Source organism: Homo sapiens, chromosome 15, assembly GCF_000001405.40.
Source record: "Homo sapiens chromosome 15, GRCh38.p14 Primary Assembly".
Lineage (NCBI taxonomy): Eukaryota > Metazoa > Chordata > Mammalia > Primates > Hominidae > Homo > Homo sapiens.
The window spans coordinates 66,055,472-66,082,361 of NC_000015.10; the positions used below are offsets into that span (position 1 = coordinate 66,055,472).

At 49.7% G+C, this 26,890-nt stretch overlaps 1 protein-coding gene across 23 annotated transcripts in view, besides 6 other annotated features; it reads right to left on the minus strand.

Moving 5' to 3' along the window:
* Window positions 1-26,890, minus strand: part of MEGF11 (multiple EGF like domains 11) — a 358,452-nt gene that overhangs the window by 160,173 nt on the left and 171,389 nt on the right. The gene's annotated exons all lie outside the window — the stretch shown is intronic.
* Window positions 1,245-1,745: an enhancer, noted in NCBI's record as "H3K4me1 hESC enhancer chr15:66349054-66349554 (GRCh37/hg19 assembly coordinates)". NCBI's record gives its function as "activates a minimal SCP1, AML or CMV promoter by ChIP-STARR-seq in primed H9 embryonic stem cells {active_cell/tissue: H9 hESC(primed)}" and the evidence as "EXISTENCE:reporter gene assay evidence [ECO:0000049][PMID:30033119]".
* Window positions 10,048-10,248: a silencer, noted in NCBI's record as "fragment chr15:66357857-66358057 (GRCh37/hg19 assembly coordinates)". NCBI's record gives its function as "represses an EF-1alpha promoter that drives an FKBP-Casp9 reporter gene in an ReSE screen in both phorbol 12-myristate 13-acetate-treated (for megakaryocytic differentiation) and untreated K562 erythroleukemia cells {active_cell/tissue: K562 | K562(+PMA)}" and the evidence as "EXISTENCE:reporter gene assay evidence [ECO:0000049][PMID:32094911]".
* Window positions 10,391-10,953: an enhancer, noted in NCBI's record as "H3K4me1 hESC enhancer chr15:66358200-66358762 (GRCh37/hg19 assembly coordinates)". NCBI's record gives its function as "activates a minimal SCP1, AML or CMV promoter by ChIP-STARR-seq in primed H9 embryonic stem cells {active_cell/tissue: H9 hESC(primed)}" and the evidence as "EXISTENCE:reporter gene assay evidence [ECO:0000049][PMID:30033119]".
* Window positions 17,744-18,244: an enhancer, noted in NCBI's record as "H3K4me1 hESC enhancer chr15:66365553-66366053 (GRCh37/hg19 assembly coordinates)". NCBI's record gives its function as "activates a minimal SCP1, AML or CMV promoter by ChIP-STARR-seq in naive H9 embryonic stem cells {active_cell/tissue: H9 hESC(naive)}" and the evidence as "EXISTENCE:reporter gene assay evidence [ECO:0000049][PMID:30033119]".
* Window positions 24,041-25,009: an enhancer, noted in NCBI's record as "H3K27ac-H3K4me1 hESC enhancer chr15:66371850-66372818 (GRCh37/hg19 assembly coordinates)". NCBI's record gives its function as "activates a minimal SCP1, AML or CMV promoter by ChIP-STARR-seq in naive H9 embryonic stem cells {active_cell/tissue: H9 hESC(naive)}" and the evidence as "EXISTENCE:reporter gene assay evidence [ECO:0000049][PMID:30033119]".
* Window positions 25,010-25,976: an enhancer, noted in NCBI's record as "H3K27ac-H3K4me1 hESC enhancer chr15:66372819-66373785 (GRCh37/hg19 assembly coordinates)". NCBI's record gives its function as "activates a minimal SCP1, AML or CMV promoter by ChIP-STARR-seq in naive H9 embryonic stem cells {active_cell/tissue: H9 hESC(naive)}" and the evidence as "EXISTENCE:reporter gene assay evidence [ECO:0000049][PMID:30033119]".

Sequence of the window (26,890 nt, forward strand, 5' to 3'; positions counted from 1 at the left end):
TGCACGAGGGTGCCTCGTTCGGTAGCGTGTGTTTGTGCTGGTGTGTCAGAATCGGGGGGACAGAAACAGCCTCTTTGGTTCTATGTATTTCTTTTCTCATTTCAGAGCATAGAGCATTTGGAAAACAAACCAGCTGCTATTTATAATGTTTGGTAACATTCGGGACTCAACACAGTTTTCACGTAAAGATCTTGCCTGTGACACAAGCTCTGTGATTCAAGAACCAAGTAAATGGAAGGGACCAACTTGTTGTTCAGTTACTAGTTATTAAATCACAATGGTGGGAAGCCTCACGCGGCCGCACTGCTTAGGTTTTACATACAGAACAACCTCAACATGATTCGGGAGGCTCTGCAGTTGAGGGGTGGTGGTGGTTTCCATCTCTCTCGTAGAGACTGGCCAGGATAAAAAAGAAGCCCCGAATTCCAGAGTCAGGAGAATGGGCTTTCTGACCATTAGTATGACACTGGATGGAAGGCTTCGGGAAAGCATGGAGGCAAATGGCTCTGGTAGGGTGATCCAGGCCCTTAGTAATTGAAATATGGTCCTAAACCAGCAGCAGCAGCACCATATGTGAGCGTGTTAGAAATGCAGAGTGTCAGGCTCCACATTTCACCCCCTTCCCCAGCTACTATTGGGAATCTGTACTTTAACGAGGCTCCCAGGTGACTGATGGGTGCATTCCAGTGGGAGAAGTGCTGGTCTAGTTAATGCCTTACCCAATCCTTCCAATCACTGGAAGCATCTGACCCATTTGATTTCTTGCTGTTCTGGGCCTGGAGAGAAGAGGGAGGGGCTGTAGAGGGGGCAGGGTGTGGGGTGGTAAAAAGGAGCAGGACTTAACCTTCTGAGCCTCATTTTACCCTTGTAAAACAGGAGATCAAAATAGGAGCCCCAGTCAGCATTGTTGTGAGGATTATAAACAAGATAATGTAGATATAGTGCTCAGCCCTGCACCTGATATAGTAGGTACTTAATAGCTATTGATTCCCTACCCACATGAGCCCGACATGTGGACAGTCATGCAAGCAAGAACCTTAGCCTGCCCCCGATCTTCAGCATTGGGCCTACAACTCGTAATTCAGGCAAGGACATCTTCGTCTTTTGAGAAGAAAGGAAACAAAAGCCAGAGAAGAATGCAGGGCCCTCTCAGTGGTATGAGGCTATAAGCACCAATAACATAGAAAGGTAAGCTCAACAATGAGACCTCACCTACCCAGAAGGGGATAGAGTGAAGAACTGGTCTAGCCCTTAGGAGGCTGGAGCTCAAGACTTGACTCAGCCAGGAACTTGCTGTGTGACCTTGGGCCTCAGTTTCCCCCACTGGGAAACTGACAGCGTCGGATTCATCACCTCCAAGGTCCCCCTTCACCCTGTCATTCTCTGATTTTGCTTAGGGATGCCAGGAGCAGCTTTCGCCAAGCTGCATGTGGACTTTTCTCACTGGGAAAATTAATTCAGTCCTCAATGTTGCAGTCTATAAATTACTGGCCAATCTGTTTCAGAAATATTAAAGGAGCATTTATAAATTGCCCCTTCCATTCAATGCTGCAAAATAAAGATTTTGGGCCCTTCAGATGTTTATCTTACTTAAAACCACAGCAGGAATCAATCTCCCCCAGCCTTCATGGGAGAGAACATCATTTCAGGGGGTGGTGGGGAGGATGTGTCAGGCTGACTCTCCCTTCCCATTCCCCCAACTCCCTGCTCCTGAGAATTCACATTCCAAAATTCAAACTGGAGGCTTTCGGTGAAGCAAAACGAGGGTAGGGCGTCGGGGAGGTTGGCTGGTGGCAGGCAGCTTGGGCTGGGAAGATTCCCCTGAGCAGCGCTTGAAGGGCAGAGGGCAGTGGTGCTGGCTCAGAGACCCTAAGATCAGGGCTGAAGAAGTTAAGCTGTCTTTTGTAGTAATTGATTTTGACAGTGTAACAAGTTAATTCGTCACTGTTTTGCAACTTCCTTGAGAATGCATTGGTAAGCAGCATCCCGTAGGATACCTTGTAATCACTTGTAAACTCAAATTAGGTCTCCCAGTTAAATATTGTTGATATCAGGTAGAGCTGGGCTGCTACAATGACTACAAATGTGCTGATTTCACCTTTTCTATTACGTCAAGGACATGTTCTGGCTAAAAGTGATGCAAGCAGATGAAGGCTGTTATAGGCACCTAATTAGGGTCATCATACTAACTGGAAATACCTTTATAGGAGGGGTGGAAAGGTGGACCAGGTCCCCTACCCTTTAAATACACACTTATTCTCCTATTATTATGATTATGTTTAGGCTCACTGACATTTCATCATAAAAAAGGAAACAAACTAGGATTCAAAAGATCTGTTCAGGGCCCAGCTCTTAAGTAGAATTAATACCTGAACGAAAACCCCCTTTCAGCAGGGTCTTCTCAATACTTTATTGTAATAGTTTATCAGGAACAGTTATTTTAATGCCAGGCCATAAAGATGAAATCAAGCAGTAGCTTTATTTCCCAGGAGTTAACTATTAATTGCCACACAAAAAGAATTTAGAAATGACATGGGGAACAAATATTCCAGCTTCCTGCAAAGTGAAAAGAATTCTTTAATATTAGCATCTCCACAATAGGGTGCACACTGAGGCTTAATTAAAATGCACAATTGTTCTCTGATGTTTTTTATTCTTGGTGGTTTCAATGAGATGGGCTCACAGATGGAAGCCGGGGCCATATCCCTGCAAGATGGGCTGACAGCTCTTGATAAAGCACCACCTCTCAGCCATATAACAGGGCAACGGCAGTAAATGGATAATATCAGAATACAGGCTGTGCGGAAGGCAAATGCAACTTTACCTAAGAGCCTTAAAATGTTTTAACTACCATTTCCATCAAGCCTGGAAGTTTGAAATGCGGCACTAACACACTTCTTCAAGAAGCTGTTTTCTTTCCACCCCCAGAACTAATAAATCCAAAAGGCCTACTTAGGCTAAGACAAGCCAGGAGCTGAGGAGGCAGTTTCAGGAGCTGTTAATAACATCTCTCCAAGGGGTTGAGAGACAGCTTTGGGCTGGGCCCCGGAGCACCCCAATACAGTCAGGCAGAGACAGATCTGGGGAACAGGTTTCAGGGCTGAGGCATCCCAGTTATGTACTTCCCCCAGATTCCCCCTCCACAGGTCTAGAGGCTCTGAGGAAGGGATAAAGTTGCCTCTGGGTGCCTCAGTCATTCTCTCTCTGTAGGGAGGCATCAGGGGTCACTTCATGCTATCCTCCCTCTTCGGGGTGGCCCTATTCCAGTGCATCCTGCTCCCTACCAGGAAGGAGGAGGAGGAGGTGGTGATGCCTCCTTTGATGACATGCAATGCTGTTATTTAGCTGATACACTTTGAGATGTCTGTCCCAGTCATGAAAATCCTGAAATATCTCCATATTAGCTGATAAAGAACCATTTCCCCAAGCCCTGTAGTGCCCTGAGTCTCCCCATTACCCCAGACCACCTCAGCCCCTTCACTGGGACCTCCCCATCCAGGACTCCCAACCACTCGGCAATTAAAGGGTTGATCCTTCCCCTGCTAGGAGTCTGGGGGTGAGTAGGTCAGGGCCCCGTCATCAAACCCCAGTGACTGTTGAATATTTGGAACATCCCCCCTAGTTACCCTGGAGGAGCCTGCTCCAGATTTGGCTCCATTTAGAAACCATTGCTCTAACCTTAACTCACATGGAGGACCAATGGGAGGGTGTGGCTTAGTGGCACAGCCGGGGAGAACCCAGCCCAGAGCTGTTCCCTCCCCCGCGCCATCCTCACCACGAGGAAGTTCTCCACTAGCTCTAACCTAAGTCTTTGTTGCACTTTCTCTGGCTCAGTCCTGCCAGGCTCATTAGAGCCCCGCTACCCCTTCTCCCAGCCCATAGCATTCCTGCAGAAGAGGAAAGGCGCCCTGCTCAGCAGGTCCTCATTCGGCTAATTGGGTTTTAATGGTCCTAGGCAGAGGAACAGGGGCTCATCGGCTGCCATATTTGCCCCACAGTCCAAGTGGGGATGTCAGGAAAAGTGGGGTGTGTGGCTTAATGAGCAACACCTGCAGCCCTCATTACCCATGTGCTTTTGACTCAGCAAAACTCCCAGCCCTCCCGCCCCTGCCCAGTCCCAGAGACCCCCCACAGCGCTAGCCAACCAGTTGCCCCAGGTTCTTAAATTCAGAGAAATATGAACTGTGCTGGCTGAGGAGTGGAGAGGGTGAGCAGAGGGAGAGATCCAGTGATCCCCATTTGTCAGGGCCAGAAGAGGACCAGAACGTCCCAGAACCCCAGGGACTCCCCTGCCCACTCTACCTACGGTAGAACTGCTCCTTCTAGAAGAAGCCCGGCTCCCAGGCAGGGAGCTAACATGCTGATTTATTTACCTAATTATAGTAAAACAAACAAGCTGGAAACTAAGGCAAATCTGCTATCTTGCTCGAAAAACAACCACACCTCCTTGGCCAGGGTTCCTGGGAAGGTTGGGCAGCACAGAAGGACAGGGAAGTGTCTGAGGGGGAACCTGGGAAGGGACAGGTCAGGCAGTGGGTGGGGGAGCATTAGGATTGTGGGATGGGGGCAGGCGGGGAACCAAGGGACAAGAGAGACAGAGGGATGGACAGCAGAGGGATGAAGGATGGGGCAACAAAGAGATGAGTGACTAGGAGATGGGGCCCGGGACCGGAGATACTGTGAAAGGGGAGTGGGGTTGACGGCTAAGGAGTCAGAGGGATGGGGATGGAGGGGGAAAGAGAAGGCAGGGAGGTGGAGGACAGAGAGACAGAGACACGGCAAAAGCTGCCCCAGAAGTGGTGGCAGAAGGAAGAGATGGAGCAAGCACCAAAGCCTCAGGTCAGAAAATCCAAATCCAATAAAATCCCAAACTCCTTTCCATGCCCTTGAGACCCCCAAGCCAAACACAGTCTCTCCCCTTGCAGAACTAGCTCAGTACCCAGCTACTGCTGCTCTAAGCTGCTGCCCACCATTGAATGACACTGCACGCTCCATCCAGCCTCCACGCCTTTGCGCAGAAGCCTCCGAGGGATGTAGCCTTCTCCTCTCTGCAGTACCTGTTGGAACTGTCTTCCTCCTTCATCCATGTCAAAGGCCACATCCTCTGTGAAGTGTACCCTCCAGGCAAATGACCCTCTGTCCTCTGGGACCCCCCAAGGCACTTGGCCCCCCCGCCATGGCTTCAGCCTTGGATGTTGGTTAACCTGGTGTGTCTGTCCCTCTCTCTAGACTGTGAGCTCCTGAGGAGAGACCACATCTGTTCATCCCGTGTCCTCGCAGCACCTACAGCACTAAGTGAGCAGGAAAGATCTGTGCAGTTGAACTGATTGTGGACAGAGATCTAGGAATATGAGAGGAAAACTGACAACAGATGTGAGGATATGACAGTCTAAAGGGACGGAAACAGAGACCCTCATGAGGCCTAGCCTCTGTGGCTTGAAGCAGTCTGGGCAAACCCACCTGCTGTGCCCAGGACCCATGGCGTTGGCTCCTAGCCCTCCTGAGGACGCCTAGGGCTGGAATGGGGACTGGAGGGGCAGGGATTCCCCAGCTAGGGCCAGGGTAGCAGTGAAGATGGGGAGCCCAGTTAGGAGGAGGAGCTGGTTACAGAGACCTGGGCCTCAGGAAGGATTAAAACAATGTGACTCCCAGGCGCCTCACTGAAACGTGGTGACTGAAGGCTGTCACCTCAAAACCTGGGGACCTTTTGGATCAGGGCCAAGGGGTAAGTCCCGACTCTGATCAGAGGACCAGGGAGAGTGGAGCTGCCCCACCCTGACTTCACAGAGCAGGGGCTGAGGCCCAGGGAGTGCAGGCAGTCCAGGGAGTTACTGCAGGCCGTCCCAGGCATTCTGGCCAGGGCAGTTTTCCCACCTCACTGTCCCCTTCTCCTAACATGGGGCTGGAAAGGCTTGACCCCCACACGTCAGACTTAGCCTCCTTTACTTGTTCACTTCCATTTCTCTTGAGTGTGGGGCATGGCTCCAGGCATGGGGAGATGCTGGAGGAGGCAAGAGGAGGCCCCACAGCTGGCTGACAGCTACAGCAGAGACAGAAGGCAAACTCATGACCTACTCAATAAGATGATCACAGATTGTCATCAACGTCTGGCTGGTGATTAGGGGCACAGTGCCTAGGGTAGGGGGTGCTAGAACCTCTTTTTTTGAGCCTTTTTTTTTTTTGAGGCAGGGTCTTGCTCTGTCACCCAGGCTGGGGTGCAGTGGTACAATCATAGCTCACTGTGGCCTCAAATTTCTGGGCTCAAAAAATCCTCCCGCTTTGGCCTCCCAAGTAACTGGGACTATGGGCATGCACCAGCACACCCAGCTAATTTTTTAATTGTTTTGTAGAAACAGGGTCTCCCTATGTGGCCCAGGTTGATAATCAAACTCCTGGGCTCAAGTGATCCTCCTGCTTCAGCTTAAGTAGCTGGTACTATAGGTGCACACCACCACACTTGGCTAATTTAAAATTTTTTTGTAGAGACAGTCTTGCCCAGGCTGGTCTTGAACTTCTAGGCTCAAGTGATGCTCCTGCCTTGGCCTCCCAAAAGTGCTGGGATTACAGGTGTGAGCCACTGAGCTGGCTTGCAGCCTCTTTTTGGTCAGGTGATCTGGGAAGGCCTCTCTGGGAAGGTGACATCTGATATATGAGCAATCAAATGTCACCTCTGCAAAGAGCAGGAGGAAGCTCTTTCCAGGCACAGAGAGCAGCAAGCAAAGGCCCACAGGCTAGGGTGGCCCCCATGTTTGTCCCCTCCCATCTTGAGTATGGGCTGAACTTATAACTTGTTTCTAACTAATAGAATATGGCAAAGATGATGGGCTGTCCCATGTTAGGATATGAGGAAAGCTTTATTTTGCTAGCATGCACTAGAAAGACTTTTGTCCCTTACTAGCTAGAAGTTGCCACGTTGTAAAAGGCCAGTGGAGATGGCCACATGGCAGAGAACTGTGGGCAGCCTCTAGGAGTTGAGTGTAGCTCCTGACTGACAGCCTGCAGGAGGATGGGGCCCCAGTCTTATGGCTACAGTGAGATAAATTCTGCCAACAACCAGAGGGACCTTGGAAACAGATCTTCCCCAGTCAATCCTCTGATGAGACTGCAGCCCACCGACACCTTGGTTGTAACCTTGTGAGACACTGAGCAGAGGAGCCAGTTAAGCTGTGCCCAAACTCCTGACCCACAGAAATTATGAGATAATAAATGTGGGTATTTTATGCTACTAAATATGTGGGAGTTCTTTCTACAGCAATAGAAAGCTAATAAGGTGACATAGTGAGCTTTGTAGATATTTGGGGGAAGACAATAATTGCAGGTAGAAGACACAGCCAGTGCCAAAGGCCCTAAGGCAGGAAAGGAACCCTATGGAGGTCAGCATAGCTGGAGCAGGTGTGCAAGGGAGCAATTATAGGAGATGAGGTTGAGTGGCATGATTGAGTGACATGGAAGATTGTTTTTATTTGTGAAAGTGATAGACATTTTTGTTAAACCATCCCTTTAAATTATGGAAAAGAGTGTTTTCAGATGTGAGTTTTAAAAATACGATCTACAAAAACATCTAGGTCAGGTATGTGTATTCTGAGGAGCTAAGATGTCACTGAACCATAGAGTGTTAAAAAGGCATATTTTCACTGCTGTGAAATTTCTCTTTTATTCAAATGCTAACAAGTTACATAATTTCAAACAAATGGCTTTGCACCTAGACAAATTGATACTTTTATTTGAAAACACTCCAGGACAGGCTTGAAGCTTTAAATATCATTTCTAAGTGGCCCCTGGAGGCTTTTGAGCAGAAGAGGGATGTGATCTGACTCATGTTTTAGAGTTCACACTGGTTGCTGGGTAGAGAATGAGATGGATGGGGCAAGGTCAGATGCAGGGAGCCCAGATGAGAGGCAGTTACACTAGTCTTGGTGAGCAATGAGAGAACTTGCCAGGGGTCCCTCCCAACTAATCAGCCCTAGCTCCATTTCTGATGGGCCCCTGGGGTGGCCTGGAAAGCCTGGGGAAGTGATACAGCCTGGCCTTCATTCTTGGGCAGCAGAAATTCCAGGCCATAGTTCCAGCCCCAAACCATGCTGCAGGAGCACCTACTGAGTGTGTGCACGGCCTCTCCCCACAAGTCTTCATTGTAAGTCTTTCTGCCTGGGTACAAGGGCCCCAAGTGGGGCTTAGGAGAGACAGACCCCAAACTATTTTCAGGGAGCCTTTCTTGATTAACCCCCGAAATTTGGAGTATTTCTTAGCCTGCAAGCTCTCTACACTTGGGAGTTCTCCATTAAATTTGCATCAGTCAGATTAAAATCTGTGGAGGAAAGGGATAAAGGGAAGAAAACAAATATTTGTTAAGAACCCACTCTTTGTCAGACATTGCTGGGAGCATGTACTTCTTAAGTGAAGCTTGTGATTGGGTATGACTATCCTTACTTTTTTCTAATGAGGAAACAATCTCAGAAAAGTCACATTATAGGTTCAAGGTTGCACAGAAACTGTCAACTCTGCAGGTGGGATGTGAACCCAGTCTGTCTAACTCCAAAGCCCATGTTCAGAACCTATCACCACACCTGCCACCTAGCACGTTGATGAAACGCCATAGCAACAAAACAAAATACTGGCTGGGCGCAGTGGCTCACACCTGTAATCCCAGCACTTGGAGGCTAAGGAAGGCAGATCACTTGAGGTCAGGAGTTCGAGATCAGATTGGCCAACATGGCAAAACCCCATCTCTACTAAAAACACAGAAAATGAGCTGGGTGTGGTGGCGCACGTGTGTAATCCCAGTTACTCTGTAGGCTGAGGCAGGAGAATCACTTGAACCCAGGAGGTGGAGGTTACAGTGAGCCGAGATTGCACCACTGCACTCCAGCCTGGGCAACAGAGCAAGACTCTGTTTGAAAAAAAGAAGGAAAGAAAACGCTGTATCAAACAACTTCAAATCCCATTAAATAACACATTTTCCCCAGGTAATACTCACTACAACAGAATTTCAGGACAATTAATGAATTAGGGCCATCTCTTGGAAGGGTAGGGGTTTGTGAGATGATTTTTTCTTCTCTTTTTGAGATGGAGTTTCACTCTTGTTGCCCAGGCTGGAGTGCAATGGTGTGATCTCAGCTCACTGCAGCCGCCAACTCCCGGATTCAAGCGATTTTCCTGCCTCAGCCTCCCAAGTAGCTAGGATTACAGGCATGTACCACCATCCCGGCTAATTTTGTATTTTTTTTCTTTTTTTTTAGTAGAGACTGGGTTTCTCCATGTTGGTCAGGCTGGTCTTGACCTCCCAACCTCAGGTGATCCACCAGCCTTGGCCTCTCAAAGTGCTGGGATTACAGGCATGAGCCACCACTCCCGGCCTTGTGAGATGATTTTTATATGGTTTTTTAAGTGCTATTGTTCCATCATCTTATAGACAGGGTCTAGATTCCTCCATCAGGCTGGGAGCACTGTGAGTCAGAGCCTGGAGCTCCCACCCCAACCTGGGAGTGTCTGGAAGGCACCAGGTCTCCTTCTAAGCCCTCTTCCTCCTGGTCCATGCAGTGCCATGCCAATAAGCCCTGATTCACTGGCCCTTGTGTCCATAGAGACCCAGCAGGTTTTAAAAGCACAGTCACAGCTCAGAGGCAAGAGGGGAAGCAAATGCTGCCACGGGTGGGGCAGGAGGGGGATGCACCCATTGTCAGAGCACACGTCCCTAACATCCCACCAGAGCACCTAATATTCTTTGGCAGTTATCAGAAATAGGATGGAAAAATGAAACTTTGCAGCATACACAATAAGCTAGGAAATGATGGAACATAAACCAGGAGTCTATTTATTCTATGATGGTGAAAAAAAAAAAAAAGATCCAGTTTATCTCCAGGAGCAAATAAAAAACAAAGGGGAAAATGGCAAGTGTCAACTCCTGGTAAACCTCCTGTGGCCAAGTTAGATGGGATGCCACCCCCTGCACTTTTGTGTCCTTTGCTCTGCATGTCTGGATCTGAGGGTCCACTGCACTGGGGTCCGCACTGGTTGGGGGATGGGCTAACTCACTTCCAAGTAGCGTTTCCCTTGTGGAGACTCAGACCAGCTCCCTTAAAAGACACAGCCCACAGCCGTGGTCCTTGGGCAGGTGGGGGTGGGTACTGAGGTGCCCTTGAAGTCCCATTGCTCAGCAAACATTTCCTGCGTCCAAGAGGACACTGCCGAGTGTGGCTTAATGGCCTCCTGCGGCTCTTTGCATTATTGATTGCAATACCTGCTTAGAGGCTTGAAAATGAGATTTTTTCCCCCTATTGATTTTCCTGTCTTTTCCACTTGGCAAACATCAAGATCTCCCCTGACTTTCCACTGTGGAGGGTATTTAAGGAGGGCCCGGCGAAGTGGGGGAGCAGTGGGGTTTCCCTCACCTTCCAGGGAACTTGGACAGTGTCCACCCAGGTCTCCTGGCACAGAGGGGCTGGGGCCTGGGGTGAGGGCTGTGCCTTGGTGGTGGGAGGACAGTTTGTCCTTGTGTTCTTGCAGAGGCACCCCAAGTTAACAGGATTTGAGACCTGAAAAAGCCATTTCATCCATCTCCCAGTTCATATGGCTCTGAACAGGGACCCAAATGGACAGCAAATTTGAAGGAAAGGCATTGGATAGCTCTGTGGGTTTGGCCTCCCTAAGAACTTCCCAAATGCCGGAAGAGGAAGCCTGACACGTGAAGCTTCTGCCAGCTCAGGAACAAGATCATGAGCAGGGTGCCAGGACATTTCCCTGAGGGCAGCAGCAGGGTAGGCAAGAGGAGGCCGAGAGACGCCAGGGGCTCAGGGTCAGGGGAGCATGGCTCTTAGGGTCCCAGCACAAACACCAGAGCCCCCCAGTTGGTTGCTGACCTCCCTCCCCACCACCTCCCCACTGTTGGCATGCTGGGATCCATCTAAGGCAGTGTTTCTCTAGAATTGCTGGAAGCCCAGGGGGAATCTATAGGAATTTAAAATTTTTATGTGGCTATTTCAATGATAATTTTAAAAACAACAAACATCAGCATGTTGTGCAAAACCTGGAAGACCACATTATAACCGAGCACCAAGCTGTCCTCCCTGGCTGCCCGCCCTGGGTCCAAGTGGCCTGCGTCCAAGTGGAGACCCTGCTCACTACAGGTCTGTCTGAAATGCACCTGCTGCACTGTGGTCACACCAAGCTCCACGGCTGCGAGTCCCTGCCATCTCCTTGCCACACCCCTAGGGGGGCTGGGAGGTCTCTGGATGCCAGCCAGAGGGCTGAGCCTGCCTCCTTAATGCACCTCCCTGATCAGCCCACCGGGCTGAGGCTTGGAGTCATCCCAAAAATCAAGCCCCACAAAAACAAACCATTGTGTTTCCATTTTGCTGCAGGGAGGGTGGGGTCAGATGATGCTCTGTGGCCCCAGCAATCAGGAGAGAGAGAGACCCCCAGAAAGGAGAGGCACCATCTGCCTGTCACCCACAATTGATTCCAGTTCTCCTCCGTGTGAGGGTGGAGCGTGGTCACAGGGGGAGCTAATCTGCCTGCGCCCAGCTGCACCACCTTGCTATCTCTCTGGGCTTCGGTTTTCTCATCTGTAAAATGGGGATCATATTCATCCCTAACTCATAGGTTTGATATGAGGATTCAATGAGTTAATACAGATAAAGTGCTTAGAACGGTGTCTGGTGCATCACAAGTGCAGGATGAATGAAAGCTATTACTTACACAATGAACTAGATGGATTTATGAAGCTTTGCCCAGGTCTAATGTTTGATGACACCTCAGATCCAGTCTCGGGCCTAATGTTTGACTAAATCCCTGTACGTTACTACTGCAGTTATTATTACCCACACGGTGGTCACCAACAGTAATGATGCCTAGTACCTCAGTAAAATGCATTCCTATCCACTGTCTACATCTGTCACCTTATTAGAGCCTCAGGACAGCCCTGAAAAATCAACATTACTGTTTCCACTTTACAGATGGAGAAAATGAGGCCCACAGCAATTACAGGACTTGCTGGAGGCCTTAAAGCTGTTTTTGGATCATAAAATGGACCAGAATCCAGCTCTCCTGCTGCAGCCCCACGTTCTTTCCCGGCAGCATCCTACCTGTGGCAGGTGGGACCCTTTGCCTTTGGCCAACCAGACCTACAACACCTGAGCCCTGGGAAGCTCCTTTTCTGCTCACTGAGGCTCCCACTGTAGGGAGGAATGACATCAAATAGCCTTTTATGGCTCCCATAAGCACGCTAACAAATGTCTTGCTAGCAGCAGTGGCTGGAAGCAGATTAATGTCTCTGTGGCCCTAACACTTCTCCAGCCCCCTTTGCCTGTCAGGTCATTACTGGCTGGTTTATAGTCATGAGGCCCTTTTCCAGTTCGCTAAATGGTTTGCATGATAAAGAGACAGCAGGGCTAAGCATTCCAAGCTCCTTTCCTCTGGTGTTGCTGGCAAGGACTTAACGCCTCGCTTCAGGGCAGTTAGGAGCATGGGTTCTGGAGTAAAAATGACGATGCCACCACTTACTAGCTGTGTGGCCTGAAGCCAAATGCTTCACTTTGCTGAGCCTCAGTTTTCTCATCAGTAAAATGGGAGTAATAATAGTTTTTAAGGGTTGTTGAGGATCAAGTAAGCTAGTTCATGGAAAAATAAAAACCCCTGGTATTAATATATAGTTAGCAGTCAGCCCATATTAACTCTTATTATCATTATTCCTTATAAGCTGTGAGCCCCAATAGGGCAGGGATCCTGTCCTGTGCACTGCCTGGTGCATAGTAGGTACCTGATATATAAATGTTTTATGAGCAAATGAAGAATGGGAATTTGGAGCTGGATATAGATACAGGGTTTCTCTGTAGTGGCACTACTGACATTTGAAGTGGGATAACCCTTGTGTGGGCTGTCCTGCACGCTGTAGGATGTCTAGCAGCAACCCTGGCTACGACCCACCACATACCAATCGTGCTCTTTCTCCACAACTGTGACAACCAAAAATATCTCCAGACATTGCCAAATGTCCCCTGGCATTAAAAACCATTGATCTAGTGAAATCTAGTACCTAATTTGAAAAATGAGAAAGTTGAGGCCCAGAGAAAGTAAGTGACTTGCCTGAAATCACAAAGCAAGTTAGTGGCAGAGCTGGGATTCAACCCCAGGGGTCCCAATTCTAAGCCAGTGCTCTTTCCACCTGGCCCTTGTCTTTCATGGCCCACTGTCCAAGCCTCTTCCATCAGGCCATTGTCATGGGTTCCAGAATGGAAGAGGCTGGTTGCTGCTGCTCTGTTCTTCAGGTGACTGAATCAGGGGAGGTCATACTGAAATGAGGGTGCTGGTCATGGGGGAGAGTGGGTAGCCAGCTGTGCAAAGTCCCCTACCCTAGTGACAATGCATGAGGCACAACAAACTCTGTGGTAATGAGGCACAATGTATGGGTGAAAAACAGTGTCTGCCTGCTCTTGGGTGCCCCTCACTCACAAATTCACTCATCAAACATGGGCCCCTACTACAAGCCAGGGACACAGCGGTGAGACACCAGGGAGTGGCAGTGTGCTTGGTCACTGGGTGCTCCTGGGTCAGACAGTCTGGACTGAGTCCTGCATCTCATGGCTCCTTACCCTCTCTCAGCCTCAGCTTCTGCATCTGCAAAATGGGAATGATAATGGTATCCAGTAGGATGGTGCAAAAGTAATTGCAGTTTTGCCATTAAAAGTAATTGCAAAAAAGTACTTAGAGACCACAAGGGCAAATATCCCTTACCGTCCAAGTCTGTTTGGTCCTGAGCTCAGAAAGAAGGAAGGAAGTCGTCACAGTGAATGATTAATCCGAAACTTTATATGTGATGCTTTTCTCTTTCTGAATTTGAATTACCAAGGGTTTGGATGGGCAGGTGCCCGTACCTGCCATGAAGCAAGGAATAGGAATTTGCCATGAGGATTAAATGAGTAAACCAGCATGGACTGAATACTTTGTCAAGGCACCGTCTAAGTGCTTTACATGTAACACCTTATCTAACCCAGACAGAACCCCTGTAAAGAAGGTACTGTTAGCTCCATTTTATAAAAGGAGAGATTGAGGTAAAGAAGGTCATATTACTTGGCCCAAGGTCCCACAGTCGGGACCATGGTGATGCTGGGATAGGACCATCCTGCCTCCAGAACCTGTGCTCTTAACTGCCACAGAGTCAGCATTTAGCCCAGACTGCTACTGCTTCTATTATTATAGTATCATCCTAGGTGATGGAAAGGTTTGGCCATCCTGTCTTTAAGGCATTGAATATTTTCCATAGAAAAACACTGGGATGAAAAATGCTACTGTTCTAAAGTAGAAATTGGCAAAGTTTTTCTATAAAGGGCCAGATAATAAATATTTTCTGTCTTTTGAGCAAGACAGTCCCTGTCACCACTACTCAACTCTGCTGTTACAGTGAGAAAGCAGTCACAGGCAATCCAGAAATGAATAGGGATGGCTGTGTTCCAATAAAACTTTATTTATAAAAGCAGGCAATGGAATAGATTTGGCCCATGGACCATAGCTTGCTGACCACCGCTCTAAGAAAACTGGTTTAATTAGGGCGTGGCCTAGGCTCCTCTTTCCCTTTTCTCCAGCCCAAAGGAAATGACCTCAGCAGTCTGGGGAGGACAATCAGGAAAAGACTGGAGTGAAAGTCACTCTGTCTGGGCTCTGGGGTGGTAGTCTGCTCACCCAGAGGGTTGGCCCTGAGGTTGCCCCACAGGCAATGAGGACTGGGGAAGCCCAGCTTTAATCTTCGGAGATGTCGGTTTTAGAAACAGTCTGGGAGCTGAGAAAACTGTGTCAGGCTCAGCTGCCCCTTCAATCAGAGCTTGAAGTGAGCAGCCAGAGAGGTGGGCTCTGGAAATTTCCAAGGCACACCTGACCTGGGCATTACCTGCCCCACTTTAACACATCTCCAACCAAAGGCCAACTGCCCAAGCCTGTCCTGGCTAGGTGGCAGGTGTCCATGTGACAACCAGGACCAGTTTGGCAGGAAAGGATTAAGCATTAAGCCTTACGGGATCACCAATGAGCAAGCAAAAATGATGTTCAACAATTGCTGGTTGAAGGGTCTGTAACCCTGTATTCTACAAGAGGCTGGCTCTGGTGGTGGTGGGGGGTATCTTTGTAAAACCCATTTACCAAATCTGCAGAGCTAGATAGGTAATGCTGGGCTAAGGTGAACGTCATCTTACGCAGGTATACTCTTTCAAATTAATCTCCCTCCCCACCCCGCAGCAGCGGGGAGGCCTTGACTATATCACCTCTCAGTCTCCTCATCTGTGGAATGGGAATAACTTGCAAGGCTGTCGAGGAAGTGGGGGGATTAAGTGAGGCCAATGTCTGTGAACACCCAGCCCAGAGTCCACCACATAGTAAGTGCTTCATAGTATTCATATCTTTCCCTAGACTTTAGTGTAGTCAAGCAGTTGTAGAAACCAAAGTTTATAGGAACATATTAAAGGGAAAAACATGGAATCGAGGAGAAAACTATGTATTAATCTCCCCACCCCTCAAGAACTAGAAGATGGCTCTGATTCATTTCAGCTGTGGTGTATCTTGGTGGCACTTAGAGACTGCGTTGTCCCATATTCTTCATTCTATTCCACGCCTGTTCTGTGCCAAGCATTGTATGGGCATAAAGAAGGAGATAAAAGCTCCACCCAAGGTCCACCTTATAGAACTGTCCTCTCCCTCCCCGCCCTCACCTCCTGCCCCGTACACAGGTATAGGATAACACCTACCTGTTCAGGCCCTGATGACTATGCCTGTCTCTCTCTCCTAGACTCTACGTTCCTTGAGGGGAAGAGCTGACATTGTCTCTGCATTGCCTAGCCTGGAGTCTGCCCTCCAAGAGTCTCCACCGTGGGGTGCCGTGCCAGCCTCTGAGGTCATCAGCCAATCAGCTTCCAAGGTGCATGGGAAGCCACTGTATTTCTTGGTTGTTCTCTGCAACCCTTGGCTGTGACCCATGTCAAGAGAAGTTTAGAGCTGAGAGCAAATGTGGAGAAGGTGGCCCTGCTAATCTTTATTTGCTAAGCAAATTGTATTGAATTATGAAAGAGAATCGCTCATTTCAACGGCAGACCGGCCTGTGTGGCGTGTGCTCTCCCCAGAAAGGCCCTGCAGCTGCATCGGGGATCTGTCATTTCTCATGATCTGTACCATCCAGGGCTCGGGTTCCCAGTTGGGGCTGTGACCTGGAGCCAGGAGACATGCAGTGCACAAAAGAGGGGAAACCTCAGTGATTTCCTTTGGCAGCAGCAACAATAAGGAAAAAAATCCATGCCACTCATCTGCTGCCAATTATTAAAAGAAAGCTGGTTCCAACTCCGCATTCCTCCCTGCCCATAGTTCTTTTGCTGATGGGGCAATATGTGTCATCTGCATTTCTCCAAGAAACAACTCCGTTCACTCCGGTAATTAATAGGACACACGTGCCCACCCAGCATCAGCATCTGACGGAATAAATGAGCACCACTGGGACCCAGGCACTGCTCACAGAGCCCACAGCTCCTGCCAGAGGACTCCCTTCCGGCGCTCTGCTCTCCAGGAGCTCTTCCCTGCTCATCCAGGCAGGAAGGGGCCTGTGCCTTCTCTGAGCTTTCAGCAAGATGCCTTCGCGTCCCCAGCCGCCCTGCCCTATAGTTCCTTGCATGGTGCATGATCACACCCACTAGATAGAAGGCATTGTGTGAGCAGGAACATGCTCATCCATTTGTAAATCCTCTGCAGAGCCTGGCAATTGTCCCCTGAGTGTAAAACAAATTTTCTTCTGCTGAGTCAAAAACAGACCAAGAATGAGGGCTGACGAACACAAAGCTCCCCTAGTTTTTGGCCTGGTGGCTCCTCCTTGCATTCAAGTCTTGGCTCAAATCTTCCCATGAGCTCCCATGAGGGCCTTCCCTGACCACCCCACCTCACACACTTTAACCCATCACGCCCTTTTATTTTCTTCTTAGCATTTATCACCAATTGAAATTACCGTGTTTATTTATATTCTTGTTAATTGTGTTTCTGTTACTGAAGGGTAATATCCATGAAAGCATGCACCTTCTCTGTCCTGTTTACTGCTGAATCCCCAGCATCTAAAACAGGTACGCAGTAGGCCTCTGATACAGATTTATTAAATAAGTGACATGTATTCCTGAGTGAGCGAATGAATGAATGTAATCAGTGCTACAAGTCCACTTTACCTGAGCCTTCTCCCTGCTGGCTTTTGGAAAACCTTGGGAAGCTGGTCTCCTCTGAGCTCCTCCCTAGGCAGCTTTTTCTAGCTTTACAGAGCTTGGACAACTATCATCCATAGGCCCTCATGCAAGCTGTAGGGTCAAGGCCCAGGAAGGTTGCCTGGCTCGCTCCAGCAGTGGCACTAGAACCTCATCTTCCTGACTTGCTGTTGCCCCACTGTCTGCAAGGCCCCGGTCTCTGCCTTGCCCTATGGGCCCTCTGATTTAAGGTGGCAACTTTTGCAAGGGAACAGCAGAACCTTAATAAGAAATCGGCCAGGGCTGATGGATGGCAGATAGTTGGCACCAGCCTCAAGGTCAGAAGAAGTTATTTTAAACTATTCAGATTTACTAGGAAGGGAATGAGTCAGAGGAGGATTTAGGGGCTGGCCTCCTAGCAAGACATGTGGCCATGTCCCCAAGCAATCTAAGACAGACACTTCCTGTGCAGTGCACCCCCACCTCCGCCTCGCCAGCCTGAGATGAATGGCGAGGCCTCTGGTGTGAGGTGGCGAGGCCTCTGGTGTGAGGAATTTACTGGGAGCTGGTCAAATAAATCGGAAGTCTGGGATCTGAGCAGAATCACGCCCCCCTTCTTCCCCGCTGAGCCCTTGCTGAGGATGGGCGGTGGAAGTGGCTGTCCCTGAGAGGCTGTGCCCTTCCTTGTGGGCAGGCTGTCTCCCATCTCCCACAGCTTCCGGGAACCCAGCACTCCTAAGCTCCTGTGATGAATTAGACCCACCTCTTCACTCCATTTATCTTATCTCCTCCTGGGCACTGCCATCCAGGGAGCATTTCACCATCTTAGCTGCAGTGCTTCAGCGTACAGTCCTGAGCTGCTTCATCGTCTCTTCTTTCCCATCTCCTTTCCAGGATCTAACAGATCACTCTCTCCGTTTTTCAATGCCCATCATGGTCCTCACCTCCTCCAAGGAGCCTTTCCTGGTTCCCCAGGGAGACACAGGGTGAACTTGGGCTCCTCTTTGTGGCATGAATGTTTACCTGCTTTTTATGGCAGAGTTGGGTGGGCAGCCTATTCCCTTGCTGAGCTCCAAATTTTCACTGGTAATATCTTCCCCTTCCTTGCTGCCCAACCCACACCTCACACCTGGTATTGTCAGACCCATAGTGGGTGCTCAATAAATATTTGTTGAACTACATTAAGTGAACACCTGAGTTTAGGACAAGCCAACATGTTTTCCCCCACATGAGCTTGGGTGCTGGACAGGTGGACAAAGAGGTGTCAAAGGCCTTTTTCTTTTGCATATGGACTGTTTCATGTATTCTGTAAAGTTTAAATAAAATTAAAACAACCATAGTGTATCCATCAAACAGATCTTAACATCCTCCAGTCTTGCTACAGATGTTTTCATTTTAGATGAAAAACATTACCCGGTTGAAATTCCTTGGGTATCCCTCCCTAGCCCATCTTCTCCTTCCCCAGGGGTAACCTGAGCCTGACTGGTTTGATGTGGATCCTTTCTATGCCTGTATTTGTATTTTTATTACATATGAATGGACCGATAAATAACATATTCATTATTTTGCATGCTTTTACACTTCTATAAATGATACCATATGGTTTGTATGAAGCCCTCTGCAACTTGCTTTTTTCACTCAATATGATATATTTGAGATTCATCCAAGTAGACAGGTATAGCGCTAGTTCATTCATTTTAACTGCTGTGGAGACTCCATTGTATGAGTATATTACAATGTATCCACTTCCCTCTTGAGGGACCTGTAGCTTTTCACCATTATGAACAATAATGCAGGCTTGCGCCTGTTGGAGAGGCTCTCTGGAGCCGAGTTTTTCAAACTGCAGTTGTAACCCAGAGGAGAGTCATGAAATCAATATAATGGGCCATGATCACCATTTTTAAAAGTTAAATAGAAGAGATTTTAAAATATCGGTGTGTGAAAATGTATGTGCTGGGACATGACATGAAATGAATTTATGAATCTAGGTTGTGGTAGAAAAAAGATTTGAGATGCATGGCATTCTGAGGTTGGTATTATCTCCAGCTTTATTTAAAGTTACCAAACTGCTCCCTAACGTGGTACTGGCAATTCACTCTCTCATCAGTATCATATGAGAGTATCCATCTCCCTGTGTCCTTATTAACACTTGCTATTATCAGGAATTGATTTTCCTCAATCTGTTGGGGGTCATAGGGTGGCATCTTAGTTTTAATTTGCATATCTTTGATTCCTAGTGAGGTCAGCATCTTTCCATACACTTATTACCCGTCAAAATATGCATGCTAAGTACATGTTTATGTTCTTCACTAGTGTTTGAATTGGGTTTCATCTTATTGATTTGTAGGATTAAAAATATATTCTGGATATTAATCCTTATAGATTGCAGGTATTGCAAATATCTTCTCCCAAACTACAGCTTGCCATTTTACTTTGTTTAGGGTGTCAAAAGGCCTTTGCTAGCTCTGACATCCTGATTCACAATGAAGCAAAAGGGAACCCATGTTAGAGAGGCCCTCTAGAGCAAGGTCTTTCTGCATCCCCTGAATATATCAGGCCCCTAATAAATGTTTGGTGACTGTAACATACTCACTAGAGAATTCTATCAGATTAGGCCAGCACAGATCTGGGCTTACAGCAAGGGCTCTATGGAGACTTAATGACATGGTTTTGCTATGCTATGAGAAAAGTTCCAATGTCCAGCAGAGAAATCAGAAGCAGGATATTTTCATTGCAAAAAGAGCACTGGCTTTATGGAAGGATTTCCTGAAGGATGCCTGTAAAGTATGAGTTGATGTAACTCAGAATTCAACTCATGTCCAGTGTTCCAGACAGCAGACTGGGATCTCCAACAGGTGGCCCCAAGCCTCTCGACTCTCACCATTCCTGTGAGCTTACAGCAGCACAGTGATCCTTCATATTTTAAAGATGGGCCAAGAAAAAGTAAATGTCTTGCCCCAGATCACATTGAAGACAGGGGACAGAGTGAAGCCAGATCTCACAGCCACTGATGGCTCGGAGAAAAGGTCGGGACCCAGAACAGTGGGTGTTTTGAAGCAAGCAGATCCCTGAGCTCTCAGATATAGGAGAATGAGCTAAGCCACCTTGGGAAGGAGCCCATTACCTAGCTCAAGACTATGTTTAAGTCCAAATAGCTGCGTATGTATCCATGAAATAAAGGGAATGAGATGAAGGGCAAAAATGATATTTGGCAGGACCTCTGAAGAGGAAGAGGAACAAGAGCTTCTGTGACTCAAAGGTCACTTGCCTGGGCTGAAAGGTCCTTAGGGCAGGGACAAGGGAAGGATCTTATTCATCTCCATATGCCCGGAACCTAGCACAGTGTCTGGCACATGGAAAGGGCTTAAGAAATGTCTGCTGAATGAGTGGATGAATGAATAAACAGATGGATGTATGCATAGATGGACAGATGGATGGAAGAATAAAGAGATAGATGGATGAATGGACAGAGTGATGGACAGATGGATGGACTGATACATAGTTGGACAAGGGGATGAATGGTTGGACTGACAGACAGGATGGATGGATGGATGGATGGATGGATGGATGGATGGATGGATGGATGCATGTTCCTCATCTGGAAGAGGGATTGGTCTCAAAAGAACTTCTCAAGCAGGCAGCCAAACTTGATAACTCTGTCATGTTACTAAAGATCTTTGTAAAAAAAAAAAAAAATACCAAGTGGCATAACTATGAGAAATAACTGCTTCTAATTGGGCTGAATTATTCTGGCCATATAGTAGACATATTTTTATAACTTTATTAATTATTCAATTTGAGGCCATTTACCCAGCCTGCCAGAATGGGTTTTCCTTATTAGAGGGTGACAGAGTCTCCAGTTCTGCCACTGCCTCTGTTGCTGTGGCACTATTGAACAGTGACTGCCTGCTTTGGGGCAGCACCAGGGTCTGAGGACTGGATGTGGAGGGCATGGCTGCTCCTGAGAGGCAGGCTGGGAGTCAGAGATGTCAGGAGACAGTAAGGCTGTACCAGGATATCTCCCTGGCTGCACCAGGAAAGGCAGAGGGAGGTCAGGCCAGGACATGTCCAACCTGGCCTCTGTGGGTCATCTTCTGCCCAGATCCATTCACCAACTCTTAATCACAGCAATCTCCCCCCATCCAATCTGTTTCCTTCCAACGCCAAGGTAGCCCGCCATATGTTCTTCAGTAGCCTCCAGTCAGGGATGGAGGAAGTAGAGCATTGCCCAGCTACCCAGAGGGACTGGCTGGGGCTCCAAGGGCAGATCAAAGCCTTCAGCATCCTCTCTCTTCCCATACCTAGGCCCAGAGCTGGTCACATGCTACTTAGGAGAAGAAAGAGTTAAAAGGTTGCCCACCAGGAAACGCTGCAGAGTGAGTAGATGAAAAATAAGCCTTCAGGGGCTCCCCATGCCCACAGAATAATGCCAGAGCCCCTTGGGCTGTTGGTGTGAGAACACCATGCCACCTGCCCTGGCCCACCAGTCCAGCCTGGCTCCCACTCCTCTGGGTGCCTCCGCTTCAACCACACTGACCTGCTCAGCACTGGCACCTTTGCTATGTGGGTGGGCCTGCCTGGAGCACCCTCTCTTTCCATATCTGATGACTGAAACCTCACATCTCATCCTTCTTTGAGCTCTGCTTCTACCATATTTTTAGCATCTTTCCGATCTCTCCACAGGATATGATCTCTGCTTCCTCTGAAGGACCAATTTGACTCCTGGCCTCATATTGCAATTCTTGGGGCACGTGTCTGGCCCCCTACTCCCCATAGGTGAGAAGCATTGGAAGATCACGTGATATGGCTTTGCATTCTCTCAAGCATCCAACCCAGAGCCCCATAATCTTCCCTAGTCCCACCTCCACCTCCAGAAGGAACGAAAGACGTGATAAGACAGGAGAGCAAGTCTACCAGATTCCATGTAACACTGCTTAGTACCTTCCATGTGCCAGGCAGCATGAGGTGCTCCAGGTCATAGAGACAAGAAAGACGTGGGTCCTGCATGAAGAGGCCTCAGGGGATACGGGTGAGAGGGAGACAAACACAATCAAACCAAAACTGCCCAGGGTGGCAAGGACCGCCTGGCCATGTACAGAGTCGAGGCCCCTGGGAATCAGGGAACCTTCACAGCAGGGGGGCATCTGTGCTGGGCTTTGACAGCAAAAGAGCAATGGGTCAGTGGATGAAAGAGGGCAAGGGTGGGAATGATGGGAGGGAGATGAGGTTGAAAGCCAGGCAGGTGCCACATCCAGAGGGGCCAGGAAGGCCGGGCCAAGGAGATGAGCACTTCCCGGCAGGCAATAGAGAGCAGGGACACAGGTGTGGCCCAATTGGCGTTTCAGTAGCCTCCCCACCTCCCAAGTGTGGGAGGGGTTGGGGAGGGAAGGCAGAGGGCATCAACCAGAGTTTCAAGGGTGGTCTCCAGGGACAGACTGCCTGAGTTCAAATCATGCTGCTGCTGCTTATGAGTACCCTTGGGCCAGGTACTGAACCTCTCAGAGCCCATTTCCTCCTCTGAGAGATGGGGATGAGAATAATAAACTACTTTCTCTAGGACGGTGTGTAGAGGAAGTACTGGATGAGTTAGGAGAGATGCTGAAGCAAGAGCAAAGCCCAGCCTCCTTCCCTGTCAGCCTCAAGTGCCACCTCCTCCACAGCCCTGCATCGTGGCGGAAACACGCCTGAGTGGAGAGCTCACACTTGCCGTAGCCGAGTGACCTTGGAGGATGACTGGACTTCCCGGGCCTCGGCTCTCTAACCCCACCTTATGGGGCTGCGTCAGGAGGAAAGGAGGTCTGCGGTGGCCCACAGGTGGGCAGGGGCTGGCTGGCGCTGACATTCTTGGGGGCAGGGCTCCCCCATCACCAGGCCCCTCTCTGCCCAGGATGAGATGCACCTTCTCCCTCTCCTTCCCCTCAGAGTTCTAGGGACATCCTGCAGGCTGGTGGGAGCAGGTGGGTGCAGTTCGTGAGTCCCCTCCTGGAGACCCTGCCTGCAGGCTGCCCCTGGAAGTGCAGGTCCTTTTCACACCTGTGTGGGGCTGGGGAGGGGTATCCGCCCGGTTGCCAGCACGTGCGACAACGCCAGCTGGGCTCCCGCCACTCTATTCTGCTTTTGTCACATTCAAGGTGGGATCTCCACTGCCCGCCTCTTGCCAGTTCTCGAGACTCCCTGTGTGTCATTTATTTATTCATTTTGTTCTCAGGGAGCAGATGGCAGGAACTGAGTTGGGCAGAATGTACCTCCCTCCCCACTTACAACACTCCCGAGTACACAGTTCACTCGCAGACCCCAGGCTATCCCGTTTCTGGCTTTCTCAGGTCCAAAAATTCAGGAGGAGCCACACGTGCCAGGGCCCTGCCTCACCCCCACCTCCTGCTCAGATGTGACTGGCCCCAAATCTTCCCTGGTCTGAGGGGCAGTGGGCAGTGGGGAAGGGGTGAGACTCTGGGAGACTGCCCTTTCTCAAGAATGGGGAGAGCAGTGGCCCCACACCGCCTCCTGCCCCATGGCCTGCCTGCCTTCCTGCCTGTGAATTTTCTTGGGGGGACAGATGAGGATTTGTCTGGGATTTTCTTGGGGGGACAGATGAGGACCCTCAGAAGGTCTCCCCTCCTTTCCTGGTGGGCATCTGTTGTGCTGAACCCCTAACAACTCTAGTGGGGATGGCACCAGGTTCAAGAGGCCAAAGAAGAGACCCAGAAACAGCAAAAGAGACATGGGGTTTTACTGGGGGCTTATATGCAGAGGAGAGCCCAGCAGTGGCGGGCTGGGCAGAAGAACCACAACTGCTTGTAAAAGGCATGCAGTTGCTATAGCATTTCCACTCAGCACCCTAACAACCTCCACCTGGGAACCTTCATTCACACCCCCCCCCCCAGCACCCCCGCCAAAACTCAGGGCTTAATCCCCTGTACAGCCAGTGTTCCACCAGACAGGCCGACGGCTCAGATATTCCTCATAGACAAGGAACGAATCTCCAGGTTGGCCACTCTCAGATTCCCTAGCTCAGAACACACATTCAGGTGCGTTTGCCATACAGGGTCATTCTTGGGGTGCACTTAGGTGATCGCTCTCAGGTGCGTTTACCTGGCAGCAGCATCACAGGAACATGAGTGGGTGGAGGGTAGAGATGGGGTGGGAAGGACCAGCTGCCTTTGAGCTGGTGTTCTGGGGTCTCCATGGGCTGCCCCTTCCCAGCCTGATCCTCATCCTGACAAAGGTCTGGGCTCCCACAAGGGCGGGGCTCCCCAGCACCTGCTTCCTCCCCTTTCCCGTTTCTCCTGGGAGGCACTGTGGAAGAAACGGAGCATGGGAGAGAGGAGACTCATATCTCCGCTGGCTTCCAGAGTGTCACCAAGGCTGGAACATCTCAAAGAGAAGGAGACAGAGGCTGGGGGATGTGACAGCCAAGGGCGGAGAGATGGACATCAAGGCCGGCAGACCCAGGTTCTTGCTGTTCCTCCCCTGCGGCCCACAGCCCCCCAGGACTCAGGGGCTGGGCAGTCTCTTACCTGTCTCATGGTCTCTTTCAGGCTTGAGCACAGGCTCCTCACAATTGAGTCTGTCCTCGCACTTCTGACCCCATGACCTCGTGGAAAGCCTCAGACAGACCCAGCCCTGACAGTCACCAGATGCGGGACCTCAGGCCATTATGTAACCTCTCTGTGCCTCAGATTCTCTTTCTAAAAGGGGGACCGCAGCACACACCTGGCTCCTGCCTTCCACTGCCCTCCCATGATGGCCTCGCCATCCAGGTCCCCCTCCCATAAAAGCAGAGCCTTTCCTCTCCTGCCTCCTCCTCCTCCCTCCTCTCTGTGCTGGTGGTTCTGGCTTCTGCTCAAAGTTCTTGGAAGATGGAGGCTATGCTCTCCTCATCTCTGAACCCCCCATTTGGTCCTGAACCCTGGGCACTGTTGGCCTTTGAGAAGCGCTCAGTAAATGTGCACTAAGAGGAAGTCAAGGATGGAGAATACTGAGTCGATGAGGCCAGTGGTCCTGGCTATTGAATTCCTTTTTGTTCAAAATTAGAATTCCAGGGTGAATAGCAGCTCCTCTTACTCATAAACCTTGAAAAAGCATTTGCTGCTACGTACACAGCTCCCTTCTGTCCCCGTCACGGTGACTGTGCCCCAGTGTGTGGGGCTGACACAGAGCCCACCGTCCCGGGGAGGCCCACAGGCACACCAGATGCCGGCAGAAGGCGGCCCAGGCGGGTCTGCGAAGGGCCGCGGGCTTGGCAGAGCTGCACGCGAGGAACAGTGAGTGTAATTGCTTTGCGGTGATTCATCTGAAGTTGCTTTAACCTTGACAGCCGGCTCGATGCAGTGAAAAAACAACTCGAGAGAGAGCTGAGGCCTCCCGGCTGGCACAGCACCCTCTGCACACCCACTGCACGCATGAGCTATACCTGGACAGCATAGGGCTCAGCAGGAGCTCCCACCTGGAGGGGGCGAGGATGTGATCACAAGGCCGCCCCATCCCCCTCATGCCCTGCCTCCCTACCTCCCCATCCTCTCCAGGTCTGGGAATGAAGAGAGAATCAGGGTGGCCATGAGCGGGGTGGCAGGAAGGGGAGACATCCTCCATCAGGGGGCAGCAGGGAGGTCACCAGGGCCTCGGATTAGGTGAGCCAGTCCTGGACTTTGACTCCTTAGAAATAAAACATCATGAGCTGTCACAGTGGAAATAGCCCTGTTTACCTTCCCACTTTCTTTTTTCTTTCTTGAGATAGAGTCTCACTCTGTCATCCAGGCTGGAGTGCAATGGCACGATCTCGGCTCACTGCAACCTCCGCCTCCCGGGTTCAAGCTATTCTCCTGCCTTAGCCTTCCAAGTAGCTGGGATTACAGGCGCCCTCCACCATGCCCAGCTAATTTCTGTATTTTTAGTAGAGACGGGGTTTCACCATGTTGGCCAGGCTGGTCTCGAACTCCTGACCTCAAGTGATCCACCTGCCTCAGCCTTCCAAAGTGCTGGGATTACAGGTATGAGCGACTGCGCCTGGCCCTTCCCACTTTAAAGATGAGAAAACTGAGGCCCACAGAAAGGAAAGGACCAGGGTCCCCCAGGGAAGACCTGGAACAAAGCCAGCTTTCCTGTATGTTAAGGCACAGGACTTCTGCTATGAACTGAATGTTCAAGTCCCCCCTAAATTCATATTGAAACCCTAATCCCCAATGTAGTGCTGTGTGGAGGTGGGACCTGTGTCGAGTCTGTGGGAGGTAATCAGTCCCCTTAGAGGGCACTGATCTAAAGAAGAGACATGAGGGACACGACCCCCTTCTCCACTCTGGAAGACACCGTGAGAAGGCAGGCCCTCGCCAGAAATAGAGTCAGCCAGAACCTTGGTCTTGGACCTCCGAGCCTCCAGAACTGTGAGAAACACTTTTCCGTGGAAGCCACCAAGTCTTGTTACAGCAGCCTGAACTAGCTAAGGCAACTTCCACCCCTTCAGGGGCAGCATGGAACTTAGGGAAGAACACAAGTTCTGGGTTCTGATCCCAGATCTGCTGCTTGATAGTTGGGTGAATATCAGAAGTGACTCCACCTCCCTGAGCTTTGATTTCTTCATTTGTGGAATAGAATAACACATATGTCCTCCCCAGGCTGCTGGGCAGATGAAATGGGATAGTTGGCCAGGCGTGGTGGCTCATGCCTGTAATTGCAACACTTGGGAGGCCTAGCAGGGG